General features: G+C 35.1%; 1 protein-coding gene across 12 annotated transcripts in view; it reads right to left on the reverse strand.

Annotated features, from left to right (window-relative positions):
* Nucleotides 1–16932, reverse strand: part of XRN1 (5'-3' exoribonuclease 1) — a 141428-nt gene that overhangs the window by 63717 nt on the left and 60779 nt on the right. For 11 of the 12 annotated variants that reach the window (XM_047448357.1, XM_047448356.1, XM_017006640.2 and 8 more), the window contains 7 exons: nucleotides 14197–14359; nucleotides 12974–13087; nucleotides 9756–9854; nucleotides 6153–6268; nucleotides 5472–5618; nucleotides 913–1002; nucleotides 159–294 (listed from right to left, as the gene is read on the reverse strand). In XM_047448357.1, the coding sequence (XP_047304313.1) occupies nucleotides 159–294; nucleotides 913–1002; nucleotides 5472–5618; nucleotides 6153–6268; nucleotides 9756–9854; nucleotides 12974–13087; nucleotides 14197–14359 (865 nt within the window). Of the gene's footprint in view, nucleotides 1–158; nucleotides 295–912; nucleotides 1003–5471; nucleotides 5619–6152; nucleotides 6269–6370; nucleotides 6470–9755; nucleotides 9855–12973; nucleotides 13088–14196; nucleotides 14360–16932 lie in introns of those variants that run through there. The other variant, XM_006713673.3, reaches the window with a different exon arrangement.

Genomic DNA, 16932 nt, shown 5'->3' on the forward strand with positions numbered 1-16932 from the left:
AAATGGTTAGAACTTTTTTAAATTACAGGATTATTTGATACTAATTAGAATCACTAAGTATATGTTTTATTTGGTTGAAACACAAATGAATTATTTGTAAAGTATAGTCCATTTAATTCCAAATCTCATCAATAATCTTGGTTACTGAAAGTTAGTACCTTGCACTTTTCGACTTCTTCCTCAATTTTCTCAACAATAGCTGCATCCAGAATTTGTAAATCACAAGAAGAACGAGATAAAGTACTGACAGGATGTCCTTTTAGCCAAGTAATAATTTCTTGAACTTTTTCAGCACTAAAGCAAAAACAATAATTTTTAAAATTTGATTAAAACTTTCTCAGGGCTATAAATTATAAAAGACATAAAACTTATATAACTAATAATTAGTCACTGAACTTAATCGGGACTAATTCTAAATCTAATATAAATATGGACATGTTACCTCTTAGTAATTAAAAGACACACAAAAAGATTAGTTTAAAAGTATTTGTTGATATAAATGAAAGAAAATTTGTTAAGCTCTTAAAGCAAAAATGAAACAATGCAAAAAAACAAAACAAAACAAAACAAAACAAAAAGAAGTAACAAGACACGCCTGTAATCCCAGCACTTTGGGAGGCCAAGGAGCATGGCCTGAGCCTAGGAGTCAAAAAAAAAAATTAGTCAAATGTGGAGGCGTACGCCTAATAGGCCCAGCTACTCAGGAGGCTGAGGTAGGAGGATTGTTTGAGTCCAGGGAACCAAGGCTAAAGTGAGCCACATTTGAGCCACTGCATTCGGGCAAGAGAGTAAGAACCTGTCTCAAAAAAAAAAAAAAAAAAGTAATATGAAATTCTTGAGAAACCAGCTGCAGTTGTCATTGAAAACACTGAATTGAACTATGAGGTAATAAATATCATAAATCTTGCTTACCCATTCTCATTTTCTCCAGGCCAAATGTCATCTTCATAGAACACATCCTCTTGGCTATTTTTGGCTATATAACTAAATAGTTCTGGAGCTCTGGTCAAACAAACAAAAATATTGTCTTAAAATATATATGGTTAATTTCGGATAAACTTCCTACATAATAATTTCAGATCCTAAAGAAACATATAAAGCTTATTGAGGACTACTATAATATTAATAAGGGATATTATTAAAAGTGATAGAAAGTGTAAGACTGGTAAGTCAGAGTACTCCTAGACCCTCAAAAAACTCCCACTGGCTAAGGTTCAAGTCATAAACTTATAATAAACTTCAATTACTGACTCTACTCTCTTTCATTAAAATGACAGCTGATAGACAAAAATGGTATCTATAGGTTAGTTTTCTAATTTTCACAACAAAACTAGAGCACTCCACAATACAACAAATTAAAATAGATTAAAAGCATCTTCTGATAATTTTCAAAACTCCATTTCTTTCTGAAGAGTGCAGGACTTTTCGATACATATAGCAAACTGAACGTATATGCTTATCTTCCATCCCTCTCCAATCCATTAAAATGACAATATAGTATAAAAAAGAGCACAGACCTAGAGAGACAGATGAAAAATGAAGCACGGTATCTGGTGGCATATATAACCTGTTAAAATTTTAGAAACTGGAAACTGGATGAATGAATATTATCTGATTTGACAGACAGGAATAAGTTGAATCTTGAACTACCAGTGGGGGAAGTCAATAAGAAGCAAGTTGATTTAAAACACAGAACACTCTGAAAAAGCTCAGGAATTATAGGTTCCAGGTACATTTGAAAGTGTGGGGTGAGGTTTAGTAAGATTTAAAGTTTGTATAACAAGCAGTTATACTGTCATGTGGTTGCCTGCCTACCACCCCAGCATATGACCTGTAGCGTATATTTTAGAGAGGTCAAATAGATACTCTAGCCTTGTGTATACCAGTCACGGACTTAGGGGTGAGGAAGGCATAAGGAGGAGAGGACAGGTGTTATACTGAAAACAGTGAATTAATGAAAGCATAAATACTATACAATGTGTCACTAGGAAGCATAAGGTCTCTAGAAATGGACTCTGGGATGGAGATAAGCATGCAGGTAGGGAGTGCTTGTTTGATCAACACCCGTGGAAGGGAAGGGAGAGGAAGAAAGCAGAATTGGGCACAGGAAGAGGATGGGCTGTGACCAATTCTCAATGAATTCCTTGAACAGCCCCACAAAGATCTCAAACTGGGATGGCCCTTCAGACTTGCCATGAATTGGGACAATCAGAATGTCTGGGTTTCTATACCTCCTTATAGATTGGGCATTGATTTGCGGCTGTTGTGGGAAGGGAAAGTAACCTTAGTTGAGGCAGTTCTCCTCATCCAGGCAATTACTAAAGAGGGCTCACAGCTGAGGGCTGCCGGAAAGCAGCATTCCTGCTGCAAGGGGATAGGTCTTTCAGTCTTGAAAAGTGGTCTGGGAGGTGTATCACAGTATCCACTTGGTAATGAAACCTTCTTTCCCTGGTTAACTTCCAGAATACTGGCAATCAGTTTAATCCACTACATTCATATCCACTGTCAAGGAAAAGGGTGGAGGCCACCTCTCCGGGAAAGAAAAGATAAACATGCAGGTAGTGATACTAGGAGGTCCTCTGTAGAAACAGGAAAGTCCCTCCTGATCCACCTGATAAACCCCACCTAAGTACACTAAATTTCCAATCAGCTATTTAGTGCCTCATTCTTAAATATAATTGGATATCAAAGATCATCAGACAAGAACAACAACAACAAAACTTTAACACTGCAAGAGAGACTAAATCAAACAGGAGGAAAAAAAGCAATTAGAGAAAACAGAAAACACAAAAAATAGAAGGATAAATCCTAGAATTATCTTCAGAGAAATAAATGAAGATATTCCATTCACTGTAAGAACAAGATGCTATATATAGCCAGAGAATAAGGACACACTTTTAGAAATTAAAATGATTAAATCAAATAGAAATTTTAAATGATAAACAATAAAGTTGAATGAATTTCCCAAAGTAGAACAGAAGTATAACAATATAGGAAATGGATGAGGAGAGATAAAACTAAAAGGATCAGTCCAGAAGGTTTAAGATTGAACTAAAAGGATTCCCAGAAATAGAAAGCAGGAAAAAAATAGTGAGGAGAAAATTATCAAAGAAATAATACAAGAAAGTTTCTCAGAATGGAAGGGCATCAGTTGCAAGCCTGAAAGAGCTGAACAGGAGAAGGGAAGAAAAAAGATCCATACCAAGGCACACATCCTTACATTATTAAAAAGCACCAGTAAAGGAAAGGTGCTAAAAAGATTTCAGAAAATGAAAATAGATCACATACAGAAATTCAGAATCAGAATGGCACAGGCTTTATCAACAGCAATATGGAAACGAAAGGAGAATGGAACAGTGGTTTCAAAATTCTGAGGGAAGGCCAGGTGTTGTGGCTCATACCTGTAATCCCAGCACTTTGGGAGGCCGAGGCAGGCAGATCACTTGAGGTCAGGGGTTTGAGACCAACGTGGTGAAACCCCATCTCTACTAAAAAAAATACAAAATTTAGCCGGGCATGGTGGCAGGTGCCTGTAATCCCAGCTACTCGGGAGGCTGAGGTAGGAGAATCACTTGAACTGGGGAGGCAGAGGTTGCAGTGAGCTGAGATCGTGCCACTGCACTCCAGCCTGGGTGACAGAGCGAGACTGACTCAAACAAAGCAAAACAAAAATAAAAACAAAATTCTGAGGGAAAATAATCTCCAATCTAGGATTCTACACCCAGGCAAACTATCGATCAAGTGCAGGAGAAGAATAAAGACATCTCCAGACATGCAAGTTTTCTCAGGAAGCTACTGGAGTAAGTGCTCCATCAAAATGGAGATATAAATCAGAAAGAGTGAGGCATGAAAGTCAGAAAAGGAAGGAATCCTATATGGCAGACTGGTGAAGAAAACTGAATTCCTAGGATGACAGTACCAGGAAACTGAATAATGAGAGCTGCACAACAGCCCTAGAGAGCAATCAGTTCAAACTGAAGCAGGAAGACACAGGTTTTAAAAGAAGTCTCCAAGAGAAAAATGGAACTGAGCAATCACCTGATCTGTCTGACCATAGTGTAAACAGCTATGACACAGAATTTGTTATGTGAACACAGATAAGAAGCAAATGAAAAAAACAGCAAACAAAAATGTGTACAAGAAATAAAATGTAATCTTAATACTCCATAAGGTCCAACTGTGAACATTTACTTCATCATAAGGAAGTAAACCTTTAATACAGATTTAATAAAAAATCTTCATAAAAGTTTAGTGAGAGGGGAAATATGTGTCTGAGGGAATCCAGAGTGGTGGAAGTCAAAGAAAGCTGAAGCTCAGGATAGGAAAGCCACTCACAGCAGAAAATCCATAAATATGTCAAGTTGAAAAATTAAGAAAAAGTAGTTTAAACATGACCTTTTAAAGAAATAAGAAAGTGAACAGAAGAAACAATCTAAATTTCCAGATGGTAATATGGGATTGAATTGTGTCCTGCCCCACTCAGAAGTTATCGAATGTGACTTTATTTGGAAATAGGGTTTTTAGTAGAGGCAGTCAAACAAAATGTGGTCATTAGCATGGACTCTGATCTGACTGGTGTTCTTACAAAAAGGGGAAATTAGGACACAGAGACAGACATACAGAGATGAAAGATGATGTGAGACACCCAGCGAGAACATCACATAAACACGGAGGATTGCAGGGATGCATTTACAAGCCAAAGAACATATAAGGCTATGAGAAGACAGAACAGAGATGCTTCCCTAGTGCCTTCAGAGGGACCATCATTGTCCTGCAATATCTCGATTTTGGACTTCTGGTCACCAGAACTGGTTGAGACAATAAATTTCTGTTGTTTAAGCCACCCAGTTCGTGGTACTTTGTTACAGGAGCTAGCCTAGGAAACTAATAAAGAGATCTTCAAATATAAGGTTAGAAACCAGTGGAATAATGGAAAGAACATTAAATTATGAATCAGATGTAAATATACTTCCTGTAAATCTTTGTCACTAGTAACTCAGTGAATCTTGGTACTTGGCTTTCTCACTTTTGGTATGAGTTGACTTGCTGATTTCCTAGATAATTTCAGCAATAAAATTCAATAATTCTAAGATAGTAACCTGTATAGCTACATAGTTCTAAGAATCAGAAAAAATCCACTATGCTAAGAGCTTTGTTTATCCATATCAGTTCTCTCAGTGCTGACATAGGTATGCAAGGTAGTGAACAATGTATGATAGTAAGTTAAGAAAAATTTTAACTAAAGAGGGCAATTTTCATTATATATTTTCTTTTTAATAATATGGTATTTTTCTACTCAATTTTAGCTAGTGCCTATGATATTCCATGATGCAAAATTAAGTTTACATGTAACATATGCCAGATTTTACTAATGGAAATATTTGTCCTCTAAAACTAATATCAGGAAGGCAAAATAAACAGTATTTTCCTAAGATTTTGGAATGACTACTAGTATCTTATTATGTACTTACCTCTCTAAGTACTCTGCCAGAAGTTGTTCTGCTGCAGATGAATACATCCATTCACTTCCAACTTTCTTAGTATATCCAGGTACCTCCTCATTTTTCTTGTTGAATTTGAGATTTAAACCCACATTTGCTTTATGGTCTCCATGAGGGCTGAATTTAAACCACACATGCGCACACGTGCACACACACACACACACACACACACACGAGTTTTAAAATGTCGTTCAAGGAACAAAAAGTTTTGCTTTCAATTCTTAGAAAAGCTCAGTTTTGATTATTCTTCTATATTTTAGTTATTATGGTTATTTCCAAAGTAGCAGTAATTGAAAAACTAGAAGAAAAGCTTCAAAACCCAAGTTAACAAAGCATGTAAATAAATTATGTAATTATAGAGGAAAATGAAATAACAAGATGCAAGGAAATATACTACTGAGGTTCACACACACCCTCTGATACCTTTTTTCAAGGTTCAATTTATTAGCTGCTAAAAAATAAGAACTGTCTTTTCCAACCACCTAAAACATGTGCCATTCAGATGAAAGATTACCATCAGAGAAATTTATGCACAATTTTAAGACAATCCAGAGCAATTAATAAGAAAATAAATACTGAAATATTAAGCATTTAATCTTTATCATTTAATTTTTCTGCCACTTTAAGTAAATTTCTCTAACATAAACTTACTTTCTCCTAGATCCTCTTCCAATAAAAATACTTCCTGTAAACCTTGAAACAAGGTATCCACTCACTCCAAGGCGACTGGCCAACACATATCCTGGGTTGTACTTTATAGAATATTTCTTTAAATATAAAAACAAAAAGGTCAATTATGGAAACACAAGTTTACATTAAATGTTATTTCTTTACCTTTAAAATCTGGAGATAATCAAGACATCACTAACCATTGGATTGTGGCAATATAAGGATTTTCACTTAGATCCATTTCCCCTTTTTTTTGAAAGGATCTGTAGGCAGAATTTTTCTGCTCCTCTCTCTTTCTCCTTAAAGGACAGAATTCCCAAGGATGGATAAAAGGGGGGAGGAAATATACAGTTTGTGAAACTGTCTTAAGAAATAAACTCTACTGTAAGTACTAAATGGCAAACTCCACAGGCAAGTTTTTTGTTTGTTTTTGTTTTCGTTTCTACTAATTTTCATATTCCAAGCAGGGCCTAGCAAAGTACTTGGGACAAAATGAGGCCTCAGTAATTATTACATTGAATTAAAAAATAGGTACATCATCAAAATCGTTGCTACTGAGAAAAACTAAAAGTGTCCTTCATATATGGATATAAGTAATATTCTTTTCCCCTAATATTTACTATCATATGAAAACATACAAGCATGTATAGACCCATAATTAATACAGTCAATGAAATGTAACCTTAATTTATATACTTAAGGGAAGAAAACATATTGTCACATTAAAAAAAAAAAAAGAAGTAACAGATCATATAATATTTAACCAGGAAGCAAATGATTCATGAATCCAATACTAACTAGGATAAACTACCATATACTCTTAACATCATGTACATAACAATAAAACATACTTAAGAACATAATCAGATTTAGCAATAATGTAATACAAATCAAGTATGCTTTCCAGAACAGTTCAAAGAATTAAGGTAGTAGGTCTCAAATATAAGTAGCAACACTTTTCTAACAAGCATTTGGAAACGTGTAGAGGCACATTTAATTACAATAACTGGCATGGGCTACTAGCACTTAATGCCCTTGAGCCAAAGATGCCAACTGTCCTGCCATATACAAAACAGTTTTATTTAATACATAACTGTCCTGCCCAAATTGCCAACAGTACTCCTTTTGAGAAATAATGGGTTTTGCTATAATTTAAGATTCATTAAAACCATCACAAACATCCTAGAAAATATAAAATAAGTAGCTGAGAATGTTGTGGTAAAAAAAGAAGTCAGCTTGAGTGAAAGTTAAACGTATGTAAAGAGAAAGAAACAACACTGTACACTATCATACAACAGGACAGGCTCTTCTAGATCTAGAAAAAGCCAGGGATGAAGGAACACAAGTTATTTAACCTTCACTGATTCCCAGTACAAAGCTCCAGCTACTTTATCTAAAGAGCCACTCTCCTGGTTTCATGACTGCTGTCTAAATTTGTTCTTCAAATGGCACCAGATGGTAAGATTTTAGGGATGACTGCCTTCCATACATAAAGTTTCCTCATGGGTGTGCTGATACATAATGCCTTAAATTCATTTCACAGGATATAAAGCTTTATATTTTACTATTAGTGGAAAAAAAAAGGCTAAGTAGCAATAGCTGGTTGATTGTGAATTAATTTTAGCTAAGTTAATTATCCAACCAATCAATAAGAACAAATGACAGATATCAGAACCTTCCCTCTGTTTTAACAGGAGAAAGGAAAGCCACTGGAAATTTTTGGTGAGAAAGTCCTAAAAAAGATGCTGTTAACTTAAATGCAATTTTCCAATATTCTTGAGGGTTGAGACTGTTCATTCTTAGCTGAGTGGATACATACAGCTTTTGCAGAAAGGCCATTTGTCACTTCCAACTAAAAATGCAGGTGCTGAATTGTTATGAAAGGTTTAACAGAAAACACAAAAAATAGAAGGATAAATCCTAGAATTATCTTCAGAGAAATAAATGAAGATATTCCATTCACTGTAAGAACAAGATGCTATATATAGCCAGAGAATAAGGACACACTTTTAGAAATTAAAATGATTAAATCAAATAGAAATTTTAAATGATAAACAATAAAGTTGAATGAATTTCCCAAAGTAGAACAGAAGTATAACAATATAGGAAATGGATGAGGAGAGATAAAACTAAGAAGATCAATCCAGAAGGTCTAAGATTGAACTAAAAGGATTCCCAGAAATAGAAAGCAGGAAAAAAATAGTGAGGAGAAAATTATCAAAGAAATAATACAAGAAAGTTTCTCAGAATGGAAGGGCATCAGTTGCAAGCCTGAAAGAGCTGAACAGGAGAAGGGAAGAAAAAAGATCCATACCAAGGCACACATCCTCACATTATTAAAAAGCACCAGTAAGGGAAAGGTGCTAAAAAGATTTCAGAAAATGAAAATAGATCACATACAGAAATTCAGAATCAGAATGGCACAGGATTTATCAACAACAATATGGAAACGAGAAGAGAATGGAACAGTGGTTTCAAAATTCTGAGGGAAGGCCAGGTGTTGTGGCTCACACCTGTAATCCCAGCACTTTGGGAGGCCGAGGCAGGCAGATCACTTGAGGTCAGGGGTTTGAGACCAACATGGTGAAACCCCATCTCTACTAAAAAAAAAAAAAAATACAAAATTTAGCCGGGCATGGTGGTGGGTGCCTGTAATCCCAGCTACTTGGGAGGCTGAGGCAGGAGAATCACTTGAACCAGGGAGGCAGAGGTTGCACTGAGCCAAGATCGTGCCACTGCACTCCAGCCTGGATGACAGAGCGAAACTCTGTCTCACAAAAAGAAAAAACCAAAACCAAAACCAAAACAAAATTCTGAGGGAAAATAATCTCTAATCTAGGATTCTACACCCAGGCAAACTATCAATCAAGTGTAGGAGAAGAATAAAGACATCTCCAGACATGCAAGTTTTCTCAGAAGCTACTGGAGTAAGTGCTCCATCAAAATGGAGATATAAATCAGAAAGAACGAGGCATGAGAGTCAGAAAATGAAGCTGGTTGATTGCGAATTAATTTTAGCTAATTATCCAACCAATCAATAAGAACAAATGACAGATATCAGAACCTTCCCTCTATTTTAACAAGAGAAAAGAACGCCAGTGGAATTTTTTGGTGAGAAGGTCCTGAAAAAGATGCTGTTAACTTAAATGCATTTTTCCAATATTCTTTAGGATTGAGACTGTTCATTCTTAGCTGAAGAGATACATACAGCCTTTGCAGAAAGGCCATTTGTCACTTGCAACTAAAAATGCAGGCTCTGAATTATTATGAAAGGTTTAAAACACCTAAATCTGTTCCCAGAGGGTGTGCTAATCAATGTGCCTCTTATAAGCTTGAACACAATAATCCATAACAATCACTATGGATTAATAACGGGATTTCAGTGATTTCCCCCCACAAAGATCTACATGAAGTTTTGAGCACAGATTCCACACTTATTTTTAAATACCAGATGCAACTGGGAGAGAGAATCTAATCATTATTAAATAAAATATCTGAAATAAATTCAAAGGAGGTGGCAAAAATATCCTAATATTTTAAAAGTTTATCAATTCTAAATGAAACAATACAAACTACTGTACTCACATGCTGGTTCTGTATTAAAGCATCAAGATTGGGTTCACATGGAATGCTGAAAATCACACGAATCCTACCTTCTGTAATCACATCACCTGAATCCTGAACCTTAGAAGAAAAAAAAATCACAGTATAGTCTCTTTCAGTACATTTTATTTTTTAACTTATTTGAACACTATTATTTTTGAAATACAGTATGACAAGTTGGATAGTGGAAATTCTCTTGAAATTTGTTAAGTGGGTATGAAAATACTGTAAATTTGAGTCACTGTATCGTTGCTTTAATGGTTAACTTCTTTTGAGACAGGATCTATAATACTATAAATTTGAGTCACTGTATCATTGCTTTAATGGTTGTTAATTTGTTTTTTCTTGTTTTCTTTTTGACAGGATCTCATTCTGTCAGACGAGATCAGGTGCGTTCAGGGTGGTATGGCCGTAGACAGGATCTCGCTCTGTCATTCAGGCTAAAGTGGTGGGATCACAGCTCACTGCAACCTTGAACTCTTGGGCTCAAGTAATCTTCCTGCCTTGGTCTCCCCAAAGTGGTAAGATAATAGGTGTAAGCCACTGCACCTGGACAATCATTTTTTTTTTTGGCAACAGGGTCTTGCTCTGTCATCTAGGCTGGAGTGTAGTGGCACTATCATGGCTTGCCGACTTGCTGCACTTGCCTTCCTGGGCTCAAACAATCTTCCCACCTCAGCCTCTCAAGCAGCTGGAGCTACAGGTATGCACCACTAAGCTCAATTATTTGCAGAGATGGGATTTTGCCATGTTGCCCAGGCTGGTCTCAAACTCCTGTGCTCAACCAATTTCCCCACGCCCGCCTTGGCCTCTCAATGTGCTGGGATTACAGGTGTGTGCCACTGTGCTTGGCCCAATCATTCTTTTTTAAATTAACTTTTTATTTGCAAATAATTTCAAAGTACCAAAAAGTTGCAAAAAAAAAAAAAAGTGGAGGTTGCAGTGAGCCCAGATCATGCCACTGCATTCTATCCTGGGTAATAGAGCGAGACTCTGTCTCCAAAAAAAAAAAGAAAGAAAGAAAAGAAAAAAAATTTATCCAGATTCACCTGTTGTTAGCATTGTAAAACAAATGCCTTTAACTTTTGTGTACTATGTGTGTATTTACTTATACATAGTTATCTTTCTGAACCCCTTGAGTATATATTACATACATCATGTCCCTGACCTCAATATTTCAGTGTGTATTTCCTAAGATAGATATTTTACTATATAATCACAGTACAGTTATTAAGTATATAAATTTACATTGACATAATACTTTCATCTAAGCTACCATCTATATTCCAATTTTGTCAGTTGACCAAATAATGTCCTTTATAGAACTATTTTCTTCCTTTATTACAAGATCCAGATTAGGATCAGATATTGCATTTAATTGTCATATCTCTTTAGCATCCTTTAATCTAAAATGTATCCACTGCCTTTTTTTGTTTTTATAACACTGACCTTTTAAGTTATTGCTTTTTTTTTTTTTTTTTTTTTTAAGATAGAGTCTCACTGTGTCATCAAGGCTGGAGTGCAGTGGTATGATCTTGGTTCACCACAACCTCTGTCTCCCAGGTTCAAGCAATTCTTATTCTCAGCCTCCCAAGTAGCTGAGATTACATGCATATGCCACCATACCCAGCTAATTTTTATAATTTTAGCAGAGATGAGGTTTCGCTGTGTTGGCCAGCCTGGTCTCGAACTCCTGGCCTCAAGTGATTGCCTATCTTGGCCTCCCAAAGTGCTGGGATTACAGGAGTGAGCCACCATACCCAGCCAACATTGACATTTTGAAGAATATATAATTTGTCCCTCCCTCTCCAACCTGCCTTTTAAAAACAAAACAAAACAAAAAAACAGTTCCTTATTTTGGGTTTGTTTGATGCTTCCACATAATTAGGTTATGGTAGTACATTCACAGCCAGAATACTGCATAGGTGATGTGTCCTCCAAAGGGTATTACATCTGGAGGTACACAATGTTCATCTGTCCTTTAATGCGATGCTAACTTTGATTATACCATTAATATGTTGCTCAATTTTTTTCCTGCATAATTACAGTTTTCGTTTCCCTTGCAGCTAATAAATAATCTGTAGGAGATACATTCTAAGACCATGCAAATATCCTGCTCCTGATTTAAAAAAAAAATGCCCCCTAGATTTAGTTCCCAAAGATGATTCTTACATGATTCAATCTTTATCATAATGGTTGCACAATGGTTTTTCAACTGCAGCACTCTCTCCAAATTTACTTCTTACATGCTACTACAGACAAGAGACCTTCCTTTCCCTATTTATCTTTTTACTGTCACTACGGAATCATGAATTCCTGTTTTCCCCCCAGTGGTTTATAATTAACTACTGAATTTAATTATTTTGTCACTCAAAGTATCCAAGATTTGGGCAGTGGTAGTACCCTCAACCTGGTTCCTGTGTTTACATGACATACTCCCACCATTCTTCTGAGCACCTCCTTACTTTCTGACATAACAAGATGTTCCAGGTTCATCTTGTATCTTCCCTGCCCCAGATCCAGAATCAGCAATTTCTCTGAGAAGCCCTGTTCCTTTTAGTGAGTTATGAAATTAGACGTCAAGATCTGGGTGGTACATGTGCTCATTGTGCTAAGGTGTCTTTGCTTCTTATTCCTTTCAGCAAATAGAGCTAGAAACATATGCATACGTGTATATATATATACACATATATATGTGCCTATATACACAGATATACAAACATATATACATATTTTAGAAACCAAGAGTTCACACTAATACTTCCAAATCTGTCCCTATAGGTTCTTTCTTGCTTTCTCTCCTTCCATATTTGCATGTACCTTTTTCCATTTAAGAACCAAAGTTCCTCAAATATGAACGCATTTACAAATTCACTCAAGCCTATTACATGTCTAAAATAGTTACAAAATCGTTTCATCCATACCACTACAATAAACAAAACTGCTAAAAAAAAAGAGATCAGGATTTGAACACACCACCTCTTGATCCTAATCTGCTCAAGACTAAAAGTATATGGTCTTTAGTCTTAGATATATAGTATTTAGATATATAAGTCAAACACTGTGTTCATAAGTTACATGGATAAATTCTTTATTTTTTCCCTTCATTATTATATTTTAATTTAAACCTAAATGAAGAGAAGTTAAGTAACTGCTTTAAACTAGAGAAAAATGTATCAGTAACAATAATGGAAACTAACTTCTCCAGTGCAGCCATAATAGGGAGTTCCCAGCATAAAGACCATACTTCTCAGAGGAAACAAATCATCCAATGTTTTGATATTGGAGAAACGGGAGTCGAAAGCTCGGATGTCCTACATAAAATAAAAGTAAATAATCTTAGTCATAATTTCTATAGATTGCGTATCAAGTTTTTTTCCTATGGGATTATGACTATGCTGTTTGCAAATGTCAATGTGAAGATTTTTCTACATAATGCCAAGAGCTAAAATTTGTTGACTGGTTATATGGCAGGCACCCTTCTATGTGCTTCACACATTTATTGAGTTCATTTAATCCTCATGACAAACCTCTGTGGCAGAGACCATTATTAGCCTCACTTTACAGATGACAAAACTGGGGCACAGAAAGGGGATGAATCTTGTCCAAGGTCATGCAGCTAAGAAGCCAACTCAGGCAGCCAGTGTTCTTAAGTCACTTAATCACTACACTGTACTATAACACCCCAAATTACAGGATCGCTACATACTTAAAAAAATTTTTGTCCTCTTATCGTATCTAAGATTATAAATGCAAAAATAAAATGCCTTTTACATTTATAAGATTTAAGGCAAACATTTTTGAAGAATAAAAATATAAAATTCAAGGGTGTAAGTTAATGGTGGGATTTTTTCTTTTAGAGTCTAAGTCCTTAAAAAAAACCATAAAAGGCTGGGCGCAGTGGCTCACGCCTGTAATCTCAGCACTTTGGGAGGCCGAGGTGGGTGGATCACGAGGTCAGGAGATTGAGACCATCCTGGCTAACATGGTGAAACCCCATCTCCACTAAAAAATACCAAAAAATTAGCCAGGTGTGCTGGCGGGCACCTGTAGTCCCAGCTACTCGGGAAGCTGTGGCAGGAGAATGGCGTGAACCCAGAAGGCGGAGCCTGCAGTGAGCCGAGATGGCGCCACTGCACTCCAGCCCGGGCAACAGAGCGAGACTCTGTCTCAAAAAAAAAAAAAGAAAAAAAAAAAAGCATACGAAAGCATAAAAGACAAGTTTCCTAACTATATATACTGAGTGTCTGAGCATGTAATACTTCTTACAAATAATAAGTTATTTTGTAAATTATATTAAATGATAATCTCTATTATACATTGCTGAATTAGTCTATTTATATTAACATATCTTTTCATTATACAGTGAATAGTGTATTAATAGTGTATATTAAGACAGAATTGAAACTTGATATAGACTTACCTTGACAATAGTTTGATAAACAAAAGGAACAACTTGTTTTGACCACTGTTTCTCTAGACGAACTTCACCATTTTGATTTATTTGATATTTACGACCTGTGAGTAACTGAGCATACACAACTGCAGATGTTTCATTTATTATTATTCCTTTTCTTCTCAGGTAGCTAAAATAAAGAATAAACATGAAATATACATATGAATGAGTATGCAGATATTCTAGGACGATAATCGTCAACTATCGTAAACTATCAACTCATAATCAAGTGTGTAAATAAACTTTAAATAAATACGCTAGCAGTTCCAGGTACCTAACTTGAGACTTTTTGCATTATTTATTTTACTCTGTGGGTACTTCTCCAACTGTCTCTGTGATTAAATAAGAACTCATAGAGCTATACAAAACTCCTGTTCTCACATCCACTAGGATCGTTATAATTAAAAAACAGGGAAAAAAATAAGTTTTGGTGATGACATGGAAAAACTGGAACATCTGTACATTACTGGTGGGACTGTAAAATGGTGCAGCTGTTGTGGAAAACGGTTTGGCAGTTCCTCAAAAAGCAACATATAATTAACACATGACCCAACAATTCTAAGCATTCCAACCCCCCCGGATTGGAAACAGGTACTCAAACAAATATTGATACACAAATGATCATAGCACCACTATTCAAATAGCCAAAAGGTAGAAACAATCCAAATGTTCATAAATGAACAAATGGATAAACAAACAGTGGCATATCCATACAATGGAATATTATTCAGCCATAAAGAGGAATAAGCACTGACACATGCTACAATGTGTATGAACTTCGAAAGCATGCTAAATGAAAGAAGCCTGATACAAAAGGCCATATATCATATGATTCCATTTATATGAAACATCTAAAATAGGTAAATCCATGAAGACAGAAAATAGATTGGGGGTTGCCAGGAGTATGTGATGGCTTTTCCAATCTAAAGTAATTCAGACAGCCTCCTAGTTTTTTAGATAAAAGTTTACTGGAACATAGTTATCCATTTACTTCCTGTCTATGGCTGCTTTTGCGCTACATGGTAAAGTTGAGTAGTTGTGACAGACATTGTAAAGTCTACAAAGCCTAAAATATTTACTATTTGCCCTTTACAGAAGAAGTTTGCTGACCTTTCATCTAAATATATAATCATTCTTCATTTAAGGAATACTTTCTTATCTCCTTTCCATTTTCTCTTTCTAGAACTCCTAATAGATAGATATTAAAATTCTGATATTATTTTCATCTCTTTGTGCTTTTGTACTGCTTACTGAAGGAATTCCTAAGGTTGATCATTTAGCTCACTGATTCAATTTTTAGTATGCCCGTATTACTACTCAGTCCATCTACCGAGCTCACTTTACCAATCACACTTTAAAAGTTTTGTTTATACAAATATGTCATAAAAATAGTATATAATATAGACTATATAAATAGCATATAATATAGTATATAATTATATAACACGTTATATATTTTTTCACATCAGCTTATACTTTAATAATGTTGTCTATGGCAAAGTTGGTCTGAAAAAAGTCATGTCACCTTAGCCAGAAACAAAAGTTTTCCAACAAATTTTTGAAACACACCATTTTCTAAAAATTTATTAGAATTTTTTTCTACCACTTTCACTTAAAAGTCATTTAGCCAGTAATCTTGATATCAACAGCTGACCAGGACATTTCAGGAAATCTTTATAATTATGGGCCAGTATTTCTCATGAAAGTAGATGCAAAAATCTTAAAACAAACTTAAACAGATAAAATCCAATTATGTATAAAAGGATAATATATCATAAATAAATGGGATTTATTCCAGAAATTTAGGGGTAGATTAATATTGGAAATTCAATCAATGCAATTCATCAGATTAACAGGATAAAAATAATATAATCAGTTTGACAGCTGCGGAAAAAACATTTTACAAATCAGCACCAATTAATGATAAAAACTCTTAATCAGAATAGAAGGAAATTTCCTTAACCTGATAAAGAACAGTAATTAAAAACAAGCTACAGTGATAATTTTATTTAAAGATAAATTACTTAGTTTTCCCCTGAAATTGAGAATGACACAATAAGCCAGTAAGAAAACTATAAAGTAATGAGAAAAAGATAATCAACCCAATTTTAAAAAGGGCAACAGACTTGAACAGGCATTTCACAAAAGAGTATGCATATTCAAATGGCCAACAAACACGAAAGGATGTTCAATTTTATTAGTCATCAGGGAAATGCAAATTAAAGCAAAATGAGATACTACTACTATACCAAAATGGCTAAAATGAAAAAGCAATAGTAAGTACTTATGAAAACAGAAATCAACATAAGTTCTTATAAACTGCTGGTAGAGCGTAAATTGATACAAAGAGTTTGCAAACCTTTTTGGTAGTATCTGTTCAAGCTGAATGTAGGCATATGCTATGAAGCAGTAATTCTACTCTTAGATATATACCCAAAAGGAATGCATAGACATATACCCAAAAGGAATGCATATATACACGTTCACCAAGAGCCCCAAATGAGAAACAACTCAAATATCCATCCACTGTAGAATGGAAAAATTGTGCTGTATTCATACAATGTAATAGTATCATTAGTGAAAATGAACAAACTATGATTACATGTAACAATATGGATATTAGAATCACAATACTGACCAAAAGAAATCAGGCTCAAGAAGAATACACTCTGTGTGAATGAACTTATACTGCATAAAGTTCAA

The sequence above is a fragment of the Homo sapiens genome, chromosome 3 (assembly GCF_000001405.40).
Source record: "Homo sapiens chromosome 3, GRCh38.p14 Primary Assembly".
Taxonomy (NCBI): Eukaryota; Metazoa; Chordata; class Mammalia; order Primates; family Hominidae; genus Homo; species Homo sapiens.